The sequence below is a fragment of the Homo sapiens genome, chromosome 5 (genome assembly GCF_000001405.40).
Source record: "Homo sapiens chromosome 5, GRCh38.p14 Primary Assembly".
NCBI classification, from domain to species: Eukaryota; Metazoa; Chordata; class Mammalia; order Primates; family Hominidae; genus Homo; species Homo sapiens.
In genome coordinates, this window is record NC_000005.10 from 172,056,573 (window position 1) to 172,074,711 (window position 18,139).

At 44.4% G+C, this 18,139-nt stretch overlaps 1 protein-coding gene across 4 annotated transcripts in view, besides 1 other annotated feature; it reads right to left on the minus strand.

Moving 5' to 3' along the window:
• The window catches only part of STK10 (serine/threonine kinase 10), a 146,146-nt gene that overhangs the window by 14,494 nt on the left and 113,513 nt on the right, over positions 1–18,139 (minus strand). For all 4 annotated transcript variants that reach the window (XM_047417629.1, XM_047417628.1, NM_005990.4 and 1 more), the window contains 3 exons: positions 8,148–8,240; positions 4,567–4,696; positions 777–901 (listed from right to left, as the gene is read on the minus strand). In XM_047417629.1, coding sequence (XP_047273585.1) covers positions 777–901; positions 4,567–4,696; positions 8,148–8,240 — 348 coding nt within the window. The remainder of the gene's footprint in view (positions 1–776; positions 902–4,566; positions 4,697–8,147; positions 8,241–18,139) is intronic.
• Positions 10,197–10,246: an enhancer, noted in NCBI's record as "active region_23620". NCBI's record gives its function as "activates an Ori minimal core promoter by ATAC-STARR-seq in GM12878 lymphoblastoid cells {active_cell/tissue: GM12878}" and the evidence as "EXISTENCE:reporter gene assay evidence [ECO:0000049][PMID:35858748]".

The following is an 18,139-nucleotide window of genomic DNA, read 5'->3' on the forward strand; positions in this document are numbered from 1 at the left end:
AAAGACACACACCGGGCAGGCACAGTGGCTCACGCCTGTAATCCTGGCACTTTGGGAGGCCAAGGCGGGCAGATCACTTGAGGTCAGGGGTTTGAGACCAGCCTGGCCAACAGGGTGAAAGCCCAACTCTGCTAAAAAAAAAAATACAAAAATTAGCCAGGCATGGTGGCAAGCACCTGTAATCCCAGCTACTCGGGAGGCTGAGGCAGGAGAATCACTTGAACCCAGGAGGTGGAGGTTGCAGTGAGCCTAGATGGCGCCACTGCACTCCAGCCTGAGTGAGAGAGCGACTCCATCTCGAAAGAAAGAAAGAAAGAAAAGAAAGAAGAGAAAGAAAGAAAGAAAGAAGGAAGGAAGGAAAGAAAAGAAAGAAAGAAAGAAGGAAAGAAAGAAAGAAAGAAAGAAAGAAAGAAAGAAAGAAAGAGAAAGAAGGAAAGAAAGAAAGAAAGAAAGAAAGAAAGAAAGAAAGAAAGAAAGAAAAGAAGAAAGGGAAAAAAAAGAAAAGAAAGAGACATACACAGCAAGTAACAGTCAGTGAGGGAGCCACTTGGGCCATTGGCTTCCCTGCATCGTTTCCCCTATTCCTAGCCCCTTGAGCTGAAGCAGGACGCCCCTGGAGAACCTCCTGGGGCCTCACTGCAGCCAGCCCTGGCTCCTCTTGGGGGCACTTGTCATCCAAAGTGTGCACCCAAGAGGTGCCCCATCACATACAGCCTCATGGCTCTCCCAGGTCGGCCCGGCAGCAGATCCGAGCCCCGTGCCACCGGCAGCCTCACCTTCTCATGCTTGCGCAGCAGCTCGTGCCGCTGGAGGAAGTACTGGTCTTTGAGCTGCTGCTTCACCAGCTGGTGCCTCTCCTGCAGCTGGTGCTCTTCCATCTCCCACAGGGCTGCTTCCCGGTCTGCAGAGGACATGCCACCGAGCTGGTGAGGTGCTGACAACCAGAGACTCGACAGGCCCCCTGCCCCCCACCTCTGCCTGGCCTCCTCATGCTGGAGATGATAACCAACCTGCTGGGCTCAGGAATTGCCACATGTTCTACCTCATTAGACCATGTTGGCTGATCTGAGCTGAGGCCTAGAAACTTCCTTTAAGCCTAAGGAATGAGAGCTCCCAGGAGCATGGTATAGCAGGAAGTATTCAAAGTCAGGAGCCACAGAAACTGCAGCTATAGGCTGGAACCCAGCTCCATCGGTGGGATTAGGAATGGAGAGGTTCTCTAGGCATCAGCTGCCATGTCTGCCAGATGGACACAGCTATACCATGGAGGGAGGGGACGTCCTTGGGAGAAACTTTGAAGTGCAAAGTTTCCACACTGCATCTCTACCTTCCTGATGGGCACCTGGGAAGAGCTCAGATGGAGACCCCATGAAGAAGACAGAATGGCCTCTTGTCACTATTTCCTCCTTTGAAAAATGGGTGAGATCCTCCTTGTCTCCTGCACGTCCCAGGCATGCGTTATGAAGACAATGAAGATACTGGCATCTTAACACTGGAGGTCTATTAATCCACCCCTGTGCACAGCACCCGGGTGGGGACCTGGGGTCAAAGGGAGAATCTCACGCCCTTCGAGACAGGAGATTATGCTTGGCTCAGTGCGAATGTTGTTTATTTCACTGCATTCCTGTTCCGTGCAAAATGGTATCTGCTTTTGGTATATCAGAATAGTGATTCTGGCTTCCACCCCAAAATCAGAACCACAGTTCTGTAAATAGGACGGTTCTTACCAACATCATGGGATAGGAAAAGGAAGTGAGGGCTTTTCTCAAAACAACTGTGCTCTATTCAGAATATTGAAAACTCAAGAACCCTGTTTTGCTGATCCACATCAAATAATAAGAGGTTTATCTTGCTTAACTGCACTGGTCATCAAAGGCCTGGATGAGGCCTGTTTTATAAATGAGCCAAAAATTGCCCTGGGATATTGGCCTCGTGTTGTTTACTTCCTCACAGCAGGCTTGGACCGTCAAAAGTCCACAGGCACCAAACTCAAATTTGTACCCATCCTCTTGTTATTTTTAAAACATAATATGTACGGCCAGGCACAGTGGCTCACACCGTAGTCCCAGCATTTTGGGAGGCTGAGGTGGGCAGATCGCTTGAGCCTAGAAACCTGAGACCAGCCTGGGCAAAATGGCGAAACCCAGTCTCTACTAAAAATATAAAAATCAGCTGGGTGTGGTGGTGTGCACCTGTAATCACAGCTGCTCAGGGGCCTAAGGCATGAGAATTGCTTGAACAGGGGAGGCAGAGGCTGCAGTGAGCCAATATCGTGCCACTGCACTCCAGCCTGAGTGACAGAGTAAGACTTGGTCTCAAAAAACAAAAACAAAAAAAATGTATATAGTTACATAAAAAAGCTCAAACAGGGCCAGGCGCGGTGGCTCATGCCTGTAATCCTAGCACTTTGGGAGGCCGACGCAGGCAGATCACAAGGTCAGGAGATTGAGACCATCCTGGCTAACACGGTGAGACCCCGTCTCTACTAAAAATACAAAAAAAAAAAAATTAGCTGGGCATGGTGGCGGGCGCCTGTAGTCCCAGCTACTCAGGAGGCTGAGGCAGGAGAATGGCGCAGTGGCTCACACCTGTAATCCCAGCACTTTGGGAGGCCAAGGCAGGTGGATTGCTTAAGGTCAGGAGTTCAAGACCGGCCTGGCCAACATGGTGAAATCCCATCTCTCCTAAAAATATAAAAAATTAGCTGGACATGGTGGCGCAAAGCTGTAATCATCCCAGCTATGAAGGAGGCTAAGGCAGAAGAACTGCTTGAACCTGGGAGGTGGAGGTTGCAGTGAGCTAAGATTGTGCCACTGCACTCCAGCCTGGATGACACAGTGAGACAGCGAGACTCTCCATCTCAAAAAAAAAAAAAAAAAAAAAAGCTCAAACCAAGCAGATATTTAGCCATTTGGAGCCTGCCTACTTTGCATACCCCATGAAACTGCACCTAACATCTGCCAGCCATAGAGATGGAAGACCCAAGGGCTCCATAAAGACCCCAAGCCACCGTTGCCCTTTGCAGTTCTCTGACCCAGAGACGCCCCGTCTGAGCTCCCCACGCTGGACGACATCATCTAGACATGTGAGCCCCCTCTCAGTCCCCTTCTTGCCCAAGAGTTCCTTTGCCCTCTTCCCCTGCTGGATGGTGGCCCGCACCATCATCTCCAGAAAGCCTCATTCTGTAAGGGACCCCCTCAGCGTGTCAACTTGTCAAAATGCCCCCCAAGCAAAGCTGCTGGTATGCTACTGCCATCTTGTGGTCATTTATTTTTCCTCAATCAGCCCAGAAATCCCTTGAACTCCCAACAGCACCAGGGTAGGCCCGGCTTCCTGATATTGTCATCCAAGGCCCAGCTCTATCACCCATTAACTGTGCAACCTCAGTGCTATGATCTAAACGTTTGTGTCCCCTCCCCAAATGTGTATGTTGGAATCTTAACCCCTGAGGTGAGGGTATTAGGAGATGGGGCTTTTTGGGAGGTGATTAGGTCATGAGGGTGGAGCCCTCGTGAATGGAATTAGTGCCTTTTTATTAATAAAAGAGACCCCAGGCTGGGCACGTTGGCTTATGCCTCTAATCCCAGCACTTTGGGAGGCTGAGACAGGCAGACCACTTGAGCCCAAGACTTTGAGACCAGCCTGGACAACACAGAAGACCCCATTTACACAAAAAACACAAAAATTAGCCAAGCGTGGTAGCACGTGCCTGTAGTCCCAGCTACTTGGGAGGCTGAAGTCAGAGGACTGCTTGAGCCTCAGAGGCAGAGGTCACAATGAGCCATGACTGTGCCACTGCACTCCAGCCTTGGCTACAGAGCTAGACCCTGTCTCAATAAATAAATAAATAAACAAAAATCCCCAAAACCCAAAAAACCACAAAACCCCAAAAACCCAGAGACCCCAGAGCTAGTCTCCCTTCCACTATGTGAGGATACAGTGAGAAGGTGCCATCTATGAAGCAGAGAGTAAGTCCTCTCCAGACCACAAATGTGCTGGCACCCTGACTGTGGATTTCCCAGCCTCCAGAAGTGTGGGAAATGAATGTCTGTTGTTGATAAGCCACCCAGTCAGTGGTATTTTGTTACAGCAGCCTGAATGAACTAAGATACTTGGCCAAAGAATAGTAACTCTCCAAGCCTCAGTTTCCTCATCTACAGAAATGGGGATAACCTAGGCCCTGCCTCACAGTGTTAGGTGAGGATTTGATGAGATAAAGGTAGAAAAATGGACTGGCACATGGCCTGGCAGAGTGGTTGCTCAGTCCACGCCAAGCTCTCTCCACCTCCCGTAAATCCAGCTCACTTATTAACATACTCTGCCTGTTTCTTTCTTTTCTTCTCTTGACTTCTGGAATAATCTCAAATAGTCTTGGTGACAACTGGTGTCCTTACCTCGTTCCTTACTTCAAGTGGGGCTTTTCCCCAGGTTTCCCCATGAAGAATGATGTTTAGTTTTGGGGATGGAGAAGGCCTGGGAGGTTCTTGTTGCCCACCCCACTTCCCAGGGCTGGGATGTCCACAGCGACTCTGGGCCAAGACAGCGCTGCCACTTGCACACCCCCACCTCGAAGGAGCTCCTGCTTCTTCATGAGGCACTCGCGCTCCTTGTCACAGATCTCCCGCCTGTTGTCGGTGGTGAGCCTCTTCATGGCCAGCTCCAGGTCCTCCTTCTGCTTGGCTACAAAGTCCCGGTCCTGTGGGGAGAGAGGAGGACAGGCCTTTATCCAGAGCCGGCTTGGGCACCTCCATGTCTCTTCCTATTATGGGAGAAAAGCCCGCGTGATCAGAGAAGAAAATGCAGGAACAGAAAAGAAATTGGTGGAGGAGAAATTTAAGGGAGACTTAGAGACGCATCAACCAATTTCAACATGTGGGCTTCATCTGGATCCTGGATCAAAGAACAGTCTCGGTCTGTCACCAGAGCTGGAGTGCAGTGGCATGATCTCGGCTCACTGCAACCTCTGCCTCCCGCGTTCAAGTGATTCTCCTGCCTCAGCCTCCTGAGTAGCTGGGATTATAGGTGAGCACCACCACTCCTGACTAATTTTTGTATTTTTAGTAGAGACGGGGTTTCACCATGTTGGTCAGGCTGGTCTCAAACTCCTGACCTTGTGATCTGCCTGCCTCGTCCTCCCAAAGTGCTGGGATTACAGGAGTGATTGGAAACTGGAATACTGACAACATGACGTTGTTCAGCAATTATTGTTGAATTTGCTAGGTGTGTTTATGGTATGGTAGTTATTTCTGTGATGTTTGACAGGTAAAATAATATGATGTCTGGGATTTGATTAAAAAGAATACCTTGGGGTCAGGGAGTGAATGAGTGGACATGAGGTGATATTACTGAGATTAGGTGACAGGTATATGGTAGTTCATTATACCTATTCCCATGTTACTTTTCTTTTTTCTTTTTTTTTTTTTGAGAGAGAGTCTCGCTCTGTCACCCAGGCTGGAGTGCAATGGCGTGATCTCAGCTCGCTGCAACCTCAGCCTCCCAGGTTCAAGTGATTCTCCCATCTCAGCTTCCTGAGTAGCTGGGACTACAGGTGCACACCACCACACCTGGCTAACTTTTGTATTTTTAGTAGAGACGGGGTTTCACCATGTTGGCCAGGCTGGTCTTCAACTCCTGGCCTCAAGTGATCCACCCGCCTCGGCCTCCCTATTCCTGTGTTTTTAATTTTCCATAATAAAGGGTAAAAAAAATTAAAATAAAAAAATTTAGAAACCACGGAATTAGTAAAACTCTCCACTCATCTTATCCCCCAGAGTTGGCAGCTGCGGTAGGTATGTCTATACAAGTGTATCTATAGCTATTGTTATTGCTGTGTTACAAAAATTATTAAAAAGGGCTCAAAGAGATATGTGTGCACCCAAGTTCACAGCAGCATTATTCACAACAGTCAAGGGATGAAAACAGCCCACGTGTCCGTCGATAGATAAATGGATAAATCATGTGTTATATCCACACAATGGAATATTATTCAGCCTTAAAAAGGAAGGAAATTCTGACACATGCAACAACATGGATGAACCTTGAGGACATTACGCTAAGTGAAATAAGCCAGTCACAAAAGGACAAATATTCTATGATTCCACTTACATGAGGTACCTAGAGTAGTCAAATTCATAGGGAAAGCAGAATAAAGTTACCAAGGGTTGGAGGAGAAGAAATGGAGAATTACGGTTTGATGGGTGCAGAGTTTCAGTTTTACAAGACAAGAGAGTTCTGGAGATAGATGGCGGAGATGGCCGCACAATGTGAATAGGCTTAACGCCACTACACTGTACACTTAATAATGGTAAAGATGGTAAACTTTATGTTATGACTATTTTACCACAATTTTAAAAAATTATTTTAAGAAATCTTTCCATGTTATAATGTGATCTTCTGGCCAGGTGCAGTGGCTCATGCCTGTAATCCCAGCACGTTGGGAGACTGAGGCAGGCGGATCACCTGAGGTCAGGAGTTCGAGACCAGCCTGGCCAACATGGTGAAACCCTAACTCTATTAAAAATACAAAAATTAGCTAGGCGTGATGGCAGGCACCTGTAGTCCCAGCTACTTGGGAGGCTGAGGCAGGAGAATTGCTTGAACCCAGGAGGCAGAGGTTGCAGTGAGCTGAGATCGTGCCACCGCACTCCAGCCTGGGCAACAGAGTGAGACTCCATCTCAAAAAAGAAAAAAAAAAAACTGGGATGAAACTCCCAGTTTTGAAACTCCGTCTCAGATAAATAAATAATGTGATCTTCTATCACATGTGTTTGAATGGCTGAAAATATTTCATGCTATGGATGTTATTTATCCAATAAACAACAGGGTGTCTCTAGGTTTTATCTATTTTAAATAGCGCTACTTCATATTCTGGTAGCTAAGTATTTGTGAACCTCTGTGATAACTCCTTCAGGATTTTCAGATTCCCTCAGGATTTCTAGAAGCAGAAAATCCAAGCCAAAGGATGTGTACATCTTCAAAGCTCTCCATGCAACTGCCTCCTCCAGGCCAATCTGCTGTCCCTCTGCGTGGATGAGGGCCTGTGTGCCCCGCCCTCACCAGTCCTGCGTTCTCTTCCTAATCGTGCTGTAATGGGACAGACAGGTCATAGGGTGTCCCGGAGAGAACACAAGCTTGAGGCCTCGACCCCCTCCCTGAATGTGAACTCAGCAATGTTACCTCTCTCAGCCTTTGTTTCCTCTTCTGCGAATGGGAAAATGAACAGCTCCTACCATAGTAAGCTATGAATGCTGAAGCAGGTAATATACAAAGCATTTCTAAATATGGACTCAAAAATTCTTTGCTTTGGGGGCTGAGGAAGCAGAACACACAAAGACCCCCTCGTGGGGGAAAATAGGAGCATTCCGGCAAAGGATGAAAAGAAGGCTGGGGAGGCCGGCCAGGGCACAGCAAAGAGGCGGCGCTTATCTTAGGGACAATGTGGGAGCCACTGAAGGGTTTTAAGGCACAGGGCTGTGGGGGGAAGGGTGCTATTATCAGACTTGGAATTCACATTGATCACACGCAGGCAGGAGAGAAGAAACTGCAGGGGAAAAACAGCTACAGGAAGCCTCGCTGGGAGGCCACTGGACAGTGGCTGGGGGATCATGGAGATGGTGACGAGTTCATAGATCCAGAGACAGGAGATAAGAAATATACATACCATGCTTCTGGAGGTGACGAAGGACTGGAGGGAAAGGAGGCGTCAGGAATGATGGGCCAGAAAGGAAGGAAAATGGCACCCCCTCAGAGCATAACAGGACCAGGTCTGGGACATCACAAGTTTGATGTCCTTCAGACTTAAAAGATGCCAAGTGGGCAGGGGAATATACTGGGTTGGTCAAGGAGATGTGACTTACAAATAAATAACCCTAAAACAAGGTAGGAGGTGCTAAGGGTTTGGGAGGTGGTCAATGTAAAGTGTTGGGGTATCCAGAGATGGAAGAGCTTACTTCCAGATGGAGGCAGGGCAATCGAGGAAGGCTGCATGGAGGAGGGGATAATGGGGCCATGAAGGATGAGGCCAGATTTAGGTATTCAGAACGGGGTATTTGAGGGGCAGGGATTGGGCAAAGGCAGAGAGGGGGCCTGGTCACCATTCCAGGTCTCGCACCAGCCCCTGCGCTCCCCAGCTGAGGCCAGGGACTCACAAGAAGCTGCTTTTTCTGCGTGTGCTCCTCCATCTTCTGCTTCATGCTTTCCTTCCGCTGCTGTCGGGGGAGCTTCTCCACCTCGTTCTTCACCTGCAGCAGAGACAGCAGAGAGTAGCTGGGTCAGGGTCCTCTCCATGCTTCCTACAGTATAATCTTCAACGCAGAACCCCCGGGCCAGAGAAACCAAAGAAGAGGCTCAGCTTTGCAGCGGCCAGCACCCTACGCGGCTCCCCACCAAGCCCCTCTGAGCAGGTGCTCCACACTGGCCTACTCCTGCCTGCCGCTGGTTTCAGCTTCCAACTCCCCCAGAGTGGGCAGGTGCTGTTTTCAGCAGCTTGGTATCCACCCCCCTCTTCTGGTAACAGCACCTCAGTTTCCTGCAGGGAAGTGTTTCTCAACCTTTTTAAAAAATTACAGTCCCTACAGAAGTTCTTTTAGACATTTTTCCCTAATCCCTCTCCCCCCATGAAATACTAGTCCAACAGACAATATCGTCAATCTGACAAACCATTGTCATATTTCAGTTATTTTGCTTCCTTTAGGGTAACACTAGCCGGGCTGAAAATGCACTTTTTTTTTTTTTTTTTTTTGAGATGGAATCAAGCAATTCTCCTGCCTAAGCCTTCCAAGTAGCTGGCATTACAAGTGTGCACCACCACACCTGGCTAATTTTTGTATTTTTAGTAGAGATGGGGTTTCACCATGTTGGCCAGGCTGGTCTCAAACTCCTGACCTCAAGTGATCTGCCTGCCTGGGCCTCCCAAAGTGCAGGGATTACAGGCATGTGCCACCGCGCCTGGCCGAGAATGCATACTTTAGTATCCCCCTTGTCAGCCCCTGAGGTCCAGGTGAACTGACATCCCTACCCCCGCTGGCCCTGGGCTGAGCATCTGATCCAGGCTGGCCAAGCAGCATATTCCATGCCCTTAGCCTCAGGAACTGATTCAGAGATAAGCACGTGACCCTCACTGGTCCAGTGTGAGCTTTGGGACGTTTGCTGGAACTACTGAAGAAAAGCTACCTGCTGTCCTCTGGGGTTGTTAAACTGGAGGGATGAAGGCCAAGGTGAGTCACCTTGTCAGCCCCTGGAGGGGACTGCCTGAGATGAACTCAGCACAGGGAAGCAATGTCCAGAGATGAGAAGAAGAATCCCTGGCAACACTCCTGCCCTCCTGGTCAGACGCCAGCAAGTGTTCTTTCCTTCTTAAGCCAGCTGGGATTGGGTTTCTGTCTTTTATAACAGGAGGGAGAAGAGATCCATGACACTTCTCTCTAAGGACCTTAGAGTTCCTCAGACAGTTCCTTCCCAAGAAACCCACACCTTCACAGGTGCCTAATAACCCAAAACCTGCATTGACAGAGGGCTCTTAAGAGCATCTGATGGGGGGAAAGGCCCGCCTGTGATCAAAAAGAGAGCATTCCAGGGAGTTCTGGCATGGTGAGGTAAGCCAAGACAGGCTGTGTCTCCTGATAATTACAGTGAAAACTCTGCATCAAATATGAAAGCAGCTACTTGAGGACTCTGAAAACCAAACAAAAGCAGGTGGCACGAAGGGGAGTCAAAACTTGCAGACAAGACTGGTACAGGGGATAAGTTTCCTATTTTTTTTTTCACCCTTTTGCTCTCCTGGCTTTGCACCAATTCCAGACCTGCCCAGTAGTGCAGTAGAAAAGCTGGCTAAAACTCTGTAAGAAACCTTGTGTTTCTGGCCAGAGAACCAGGAAAAGAGGCCTGTGCAGTCCAGTGAGTATGGGATGAATCCCAAAGAGAAGGGCACAGAAGGCCAGGCGGAGTGGCTCACGCCTGTAATCCCAGCACTTTGGGAGGCCGAGAAAGGTGGATCACTTGAGGTCAGGAGTTCAAGACCAGCCTTGGGCAACATGGTGAAACCCTGTCTCTACTAAAAATACAAAAATCAGCCGGGTGTGGTGGCACATGCCAGTTATCCCAGCTCCTTGGGAAGGAGGCATGAGAATCACTTGAACTCAGGCGGCGTAGGTTGCAGTGAGCCGAGATCATACCATTGAACTTCCAGCCTGAGGGACAGAGCGAGACTCCGTCTCAAAAACAAAGAGAAGAGCGCAGGAAAAGGGAAATTCCTAACTGTGTGTGTGAACACAGAGATTCACCCCTGAGCTGAGTATGAGTGAGACAGGTGCCAAGCAGTATAGCAAAAAACAAAAAAAGCAAAGACCCAACTAAACTAACACTGAAACCACTACCCACAGAAGATCAGACAGAACCTGTGGTCTGCAGGGTTTCCTGTTAAACAAAAAACATCTACATTCTTCAAAAGATTATAATACGGACCCACAGTCTACAGAACATAACACTGAAATGTCAGGGATAGCCAGGCACGGTGGCTCACACCTGTAATCCCAGCACTTTGGGAGGCTGGGTGGATCACCTGAGCTCAGGAGTTCGAGACCAACCTGGGCAACATGGCAAAAACCCGTCTCTACAGAAAATATTAATACAAAAAACTAGCTGGGTGTGGTGCCAGTGCACCTGTAGTCTCAGCTACTCAGGAGGCTGAAGTGGGAGGATCACTTTAGCCCAGGAGGTTGAGGCTGCAGTGAGCTGTGACTGCACCACTGCACTCCATCCTGGGCAACAGAGCAAGACCCTGTCTCTAAATAAATAAATAGAATAAATAAATAAATAAATAAATAAATAAATAAATAAATAGAATAAAATGCCAAGGAAACAATAAAAAATTACTCTACATACAAAGAATCAGGAAATAGAACCAATTTTCAAAGAAAAAGGCAATCAATAGATGTCAGCTCCGGGATGACACAGATGTTGGGACTGGCAGAAAGAAACTTTAAAGCAGCTATTATAACTGTACTCCATGAGGTAAAGCCCTTTAATATTTCAAGTATGGAAAGATGAAAGTTCACAGCCCAGAAAAACTATTTTTTAAAAAATTAGAAAATTTAAAACTAAACAATACAATGTCTGAAATTAAAATAAAACAATAGTGGAATGGTGATCACAGAGGAGGGTCATTCATTTGAAGACTGATTAATAAAGATTATATAATATGAATGATAGAGAGAAAAAAAGATGAAAAAGAGGAAGGTTTCAGGAACTTATGGGAAAATTATCAAAAGCTCAATGAAACCCAAACAGGTTAAATTAAAAGAAAACCACCCTCATACATATCATAATAAAACTTGAAAACCAAACACTAAAAAAATTCAGGAGAGTAGTTAAGAGAAATGTGACATATTAACACAGGAAAATAATGACTCCAGTGACCATGGATTCCCCAACAGACACTAGGGAGGCCAAAAGCCACCGGAGTATCATCCTTAAAGTGCTGAAAGAAGGGCCGGGCGCGGTGGCTCACGCCTGTAATCCCAGCACTTGGGGAGGCTAAGGCGGGTGGATCACGAGGTCAGGAATTCAAGACAAGCCTGGCCAAGATGGTGAAACCCTGTCTCTACTAAAAATACAAAAAAATTAGCTGGGTATGGTGACAGGCGCCTGTAATCCCAGCTACTCAGGAGGCTGAAGCAGAGAACTGCTTGAACCCGGGAGGCACAGGTTGCAGTGAGCCGAGATCACACCACTGCACTCCAGTCTGGGCGACAGAGCGAGACTCTGTCTCAAAAAAAAAAAGTGCTGAGATAGGTATGTCTAGTGAAACTATCCTTCAGAAATGAAAGTAAAATAAAGACATTTTCAGATGAAGGAAAGTAGGAAACTTTGTGGTCAGGAAGAAAGGCTACATTGGAAGTTCTTCAGGTTGAAAAGAAGTGAGCTGAGAAGAAAACTTGTATCTTCAGTAAAAAAGAAAGAGTGACAGAAATGGTAAATATCTGGATAAACATAATCAACACTTTTTCCCTTAAGATCTTTAAAATCTCAATGACCATTTAAAGCAAAAGTTGTCACATTGTCTGGTATGGTTTTTAATATATGTAGATATAATACATGTGATAGGCCAGGTGTGGTGGCTCACACCTGTAATGCCAGCACTTTGGGAGGCTGAGGTGGGCGGATTGCTTGAGGCCAGGCAAGACCAGCCTGGCCAACATGGTGAAACCCTGTCTCTAGGCATGAGAACTGCTTGAACCCAGGAGGCAGAGGTTGCAGTGAGCCAAGATCATACCATTGCACTTCAGCCTGGGCGACAGAGCAAGACTCTGCCTCAAAAAAAAAAAACAAAACCAAAAACGTGACAATTATAACAAAATTGAGAAAGTATCAAGAAATTTACATGGTTGTAAAGGTACATTTTACTTAAAGAATTACAATATCAACTCTAAATAGATGCTGAGATAGGTATGTATATTATAATGCCCCAGAGCAACCATTAAACACAAACACACACACACACATAAAATATAAACTAATTCATGAATTAAAAAATAATACTAAAAATATTCAAATACTTCAAAAGGAGGTAGAAAAACAGGGAAGAGAGGAACAAAAACCAAAGGAGACAAAACAGGTAATAATTTAATTAAATATAAATGCCATAAACACCTCTACTAAAAAACAAAGATTTTCAGATGGGATTAAAAAAAATGAAAGCACAACTATATGCTGTCAACAAGAAACCCATGTTAAATATAAAGATTTAGACAGGTTAAATTGAAAGGATGGGAAAAGATACTGTATGCAAACACTTATCAAAAGAAAGTAGGATTGGCTATTTATTAGACAAGGTAGACTTCAGAACAAGGAATATTATCAGGAATAATGATGGGCATTATATAATTATAAAAGGAAGACTCAGTTCACTAAGAAAATATGACTATTTTAGTCTTAGCTAAAGTCTAGGAGGCTGAGGAGGATCACTTGAGCCCAGGAGTTTGAGGGCACTCTGGGCAACATAGTTAGACTTCCATTGCAAAGAAAATAAACAAATAAATAAATAAAAGAAAATGTGACTATTTAAAATAACAAAATAATTTCAAAAATGTGAAACAAAAGCTGACAGAACTGAATGAGAAATAGATAAATCCACAATTACAGTTGGAGATGTTAACATTCCTTTCTCAGTAGCCAGTAGAACAAGTGGTCAGAAAATCAGTAAGAATAGAGAAGACCTGAACAATACTATCAATTAAGTTGACCTACTTGACATTTATAGAATACTCCACTCAACAACAGCAGAATACACATCCTTTTCAAGTGCACACGGAACACTCAGCAACACAGACCACATCCCGGACCATAAAACAAGCCATAATACATTTTTAAAAACTGAAATCTTAAAAAATATATGGGCCGGGCGTGGTGGCTCATGCCTGTAATCCCAGCACTTTGGGAGGCTGAGGCATGTGGATCACCTGAGGTCAAGAGTTCAAGACCAGCCTGGCCAACATGGTGAAACCCTGTCTCTACTAAAAATACAAAAATTAGCTGGGTGTGGTGGCATGTGCCTGTAATCCCAGCTACTTGGGGGGCTGAGGCAGGAGAATCACTTGAACCCGGGAGGCAGAGGTTGCAGTGAGCCGAGATCATGCCATTGCACTCCAGCCTGGGCGACAAGAGCAAAATTCCACCTCAAAAAAATATATATCTATATATCTATATATCTATATATATATGTTATTTGATTTGATCATAATGAAATCAAACTAAAAAACAATAAGAGAAAGATATGAGAGCCCCAAAACATTTTAAAATTAAACAACAAGCTTTTAAATAACCTGGGTCAAAGAGGAAGTTGCAAAGGAAATTAAAAAGTAATTGGTATTGAATAAAAATGAAAATACAACATATAAAGATTTGTGGAATGAAGCTAAAACAGTGCTCCATTTATAGCATTAAGTGAAATTTATAGCATTAAGTGCTTAAAGAATAGTCTCAAATCAATGTTCTAAATGAGCTTCTACATTAAGAAACCATAAAAAGAAGAGCAATTTAAACCCAAGACTAATATAACAGCAGAAATCAATAACATTGAAAAGAGAAAAATCAATGAAACCAAAAGCTGGTTCTTTGATAAGGTCAATAAAATTAATAATTAGACTGACAGGGAAGGAGGAGGAGAGGAGGAGGAGAAGGAGGATGAGAAGATGACAATACAAAATACCAATATGAGGGATGAAAGAAAGAACATCACTATAGATGCTACAGGCATTAAAAGGATAGTCAGGAAATATTTAATGCCAATAAATTTGAGTATTAAAATGAAATCTACAAATTCCTTGAAAGACAGAAGCTACTAAAGTTTACTTAAGAAGAAACAGGCCAGGGGCGGTGGTGTATCCCAGCACTTTGGGAGGCTGAGGCGGGCAGATCACCTGAAATCAGAAGTTTAAGACCAGCCTGGCTAACATGGTGAGAGCCCATGTCTACTAAAAATACAAAAACATTAGCCGGGTGTGGTGGCACGCACCTGTAATCCCAGCTACTCAGGAGGCTGAGCAGGAGAATCGCTTGAACCTGGGAGGCAGAGGTTGCAGTGAGCTGAGATTGCACCACTGCTCTCCAGCCTGGGCGACAGAGTGAGACGCTCTCTATCTCAAAAAAAAAAAAAAAAAAAAAAAAAAAAAGAAATAGGTATTTCATTGGAAGGCCATGTAACAATGAAAAGTTTAAAAAAAAAAAAAAGAAGAAGAAATAGATAACTAAAACTGAGGCAGGATAGGTAGCAAAAAAAAAAAAAAAAAAAAAATGACCAGGTTCTCTGGACACAGCAACTATGGTGACCATACAGTCAACACCATAAGCCTCAGCATTCTCATTGTAATTGAGCTCATTCAAGCACAGCTATCTTCAGTAGGGGATTTTCCCTGTAGGGAGCAAGCACATTTTGATTTTACCTGTCCTCCGACTGACTCTTTGTTCATTGTAATAGTAAAAAACACATCCCTGGGTAGAGATGTAAGATGCTAATGAGACAGTGACAAATGAACAAGCATGTACAGCTACTACAGCTGTGCACCCAGAGGACCACCCAGAACATGCTTCCTGGCAACGCCTCTTCCCACCTACTTAGGAACCATCATGTAAGGCTCCCTTTAAAAGAGTCTCCCTAGTGCCAGTCTTTGCTGTCTCGTCCTTACAAGCAGCCCACTCTGAATTCTCTCTCTCTCAGGGTGTACTGTCTATTCTATACCTAACTTTCAAAATATTATTTTCCTTTTGCAATAAATCACTCTATGCTGCATCTCCTTTGCTGTGTGTCTCATGTTTAAATTCTTTAAAGCCAAGAAGACAAGAACCGAGGTATCACAACAGCTGTCAACAAAACCAGATAGACATCACAAGAAAACCACAGATCGATATCCTTCATGAACACAGACCCCAAAATCCTCACCAAAATATCAGCAAATTGAGTCCAGTAATATATAAAAAGGAAAATATACAATAACCAAGTGGTTCTTACCCCAAAAAGGCAAAGCTGATGCAATATTTTAAAATCAAGCAATATAATTTATATCAACAGACTAACAGAAGAAAAACCATATGATCATATCAATTGATACATGAAACCCATTTGATAAAATTCAACACCTATTCATAATGAAATTGATTGGCATACTAGGAATAGGAGACTTAAAAAATTTTTTTTCTTTTCTTTTCTTTTTTTTTTGAGATGGAGTCTTGCTCTGTCGCCCAGGCTGGAGTGCAGTGGCGCAATCTCGGCTCACTGCAAGATCCGCCTACCGGGTTCATGCCATTCTCCTGCCTCAGCCTCCCGAGTAGCTGGGACTACAGGCGCACACTGCCACGCCTGGCTAATTTTTTGTATTTTTAGTAGAGATGGGGTTTCACCCTGTGTTAGCCAGGATGGTCTCGATCTCCTGACCTTGTGATCCGCCTGCCTCGGCCTCCCAAAGTGCTAGGATTACAGGCGTGAGCCACCGCGCCTGGCCTCTTTTCTTTCTTTTTAACCTCAGCTTCTGCGTCTGTATAAAGAGACTTTCTTAATCCAATGAGGGCAGCTATAAACAGCCCTATTGCTAGCATCATACTTAATGATGAGATATTGAATGCCTTCCCCTTAAAATGGGGAACAAGGCAAAGATGTCCTCTCTACTATTCCTATTCAACATCCTACTGGAGGCCTTGGCTAGCACAATAAAGCAATTAAAAAATAAAAAGCATACAGATTGAAAAGGAAGCAATAAGACCGTTTCTATTTGTAGATATGATGTCTATGTAGAAAATCTCAAGGAATCTACAAAGAAAGATACGAGTACTAATAAGTGAGTTTAACAAGATTGCAGTACAAGATTAATATATAAATATCAATGTATTTTTACAATCTAGCAATGAACAATTAGAATTTTTCTTTTCCAAGTTGGGTTTTACTTTGTTCCCAGGCTAAAGCACAGTGGTGCAATTATGGCTCACTTGCAGCCTCGAACTCCTGGGCTCAAGTGATCCTCTCTCACCTCAGCTTCCCAAGCAGCTGGGATTACAGGTGCATGCCACCACACCCAGCTAATTATTTATTTATTTATTTATTTTTTGAGATGAAGTCTTGCTCTGTCACCCAGGCTGGAGTGCAGTAGTGGTGCGATCTTGGCTCACTGCAGCCTCTGCCTCCCGGGTTCAAGCAATTCTCCTGCTTCAGCCTCCCAAGTAGCTGGGATTACAGATGCACACCACCACATTGGCTAATTTTTGTATTTTTAGTAGAGATGAGGTTTCACCATGTTGACCAGGCTGGTCTTGAACTCCTGACCTCAAGTGGTCTGCCTGCCTCAGCCTTCCAAAGTGCTGGGATTACAGGTATGAGTCACCGCACCCAACCTAATTTTTAATTTTTTTTTTGTTTGTTTTAGAGACAGGGTTTCAGTATGTTGCCCAGGCTGGTCTCAAACTCCTGGCCTCAAGTGATCCTCCCATCTCAGTCTCTTTAGTTGCTAGGATTATAGGCGTAAGCCACTGCATCTGGCAGAAATTGATTTTTTTTAAAAAGTATGTTGCATAACAGCACCAAAAACATGAAATAAATATAATTCAAGGCCGGGAGCAGTGGCTCATGCCTATAATCCTAGCACTTTGGGAGGCTGAGTTGGGTGGATAATTTGAGGTCAGAAGTTCCAGACCAGCTTGGCCAACATGGTGAAACCCCATCTCTACTAAAAATAGCAAAAAAAAAAAAAAAAAAAAAATTAGTCAGGCGTGGTGGCACACACCTGTAATCCCAGCTACCTGGGAGGCTGAGGCAAGAGAAACGCTTGAACCTGGGAGGCGGAGGTTGTAGTGAGCCAAGATCACGCCACTACACTCCAGTCTAGGTGACAGAGCAAGACTCTGTCTCAAATAATAATAATAATAATAATAATTCGAATATAAATATAAAATATATAGTGAATCTGTATGCTCAAATTAAAAACACTAAGGAAATGTAACAAAGAAGACCTAAGTAAATGGAGAGATATGTTATGCTCAATATTGTTCAGATGTCCTATCTCTCCACACTGATCTATGAATTCAACTCAATCCCAATCAAAAACTCAGCAGGTATTTCACAGAAATCAGTAGGATGATTCTAAGGTTTATATAGAAAGGCAAAAGAACTAGAATGGCCAAACAACTTTAAAAAACAAGGACAAAGTTGGAAGACTCACACTACCTGATTTCACGGCTTTTATAAAGCTACAATCGTCAAGACACTGTAGTATTGGTGAAGGACAGACAAATAGATCGGTGAAACAGCAGAGAATCCAGAAATACCACATACAAGTATATGTGGTCAACTAACTTTTCACAAAGGTACAAAAGCAATTCAGTGGAAAAAGGATAGCCTTTTCAACAAATGGTGCTGGAATAATCAGACATCCATAGGCAATAATTATTATTATAGCAGTAATAATAATAGTGAACCTAACCCACACCTTATATCTTATATAACAATGAACTCAAAATGGATTATATATCAAAATATAAAACCTAAAATTGTAAAACTTCTAAAGCATGTGATGTTGGGTTAGGCAAAGATTTCTTGGATATACTGCTAATAGCATAATCCCTAAAAGAAAAAATGATAAAACAGACTTCATCAAAA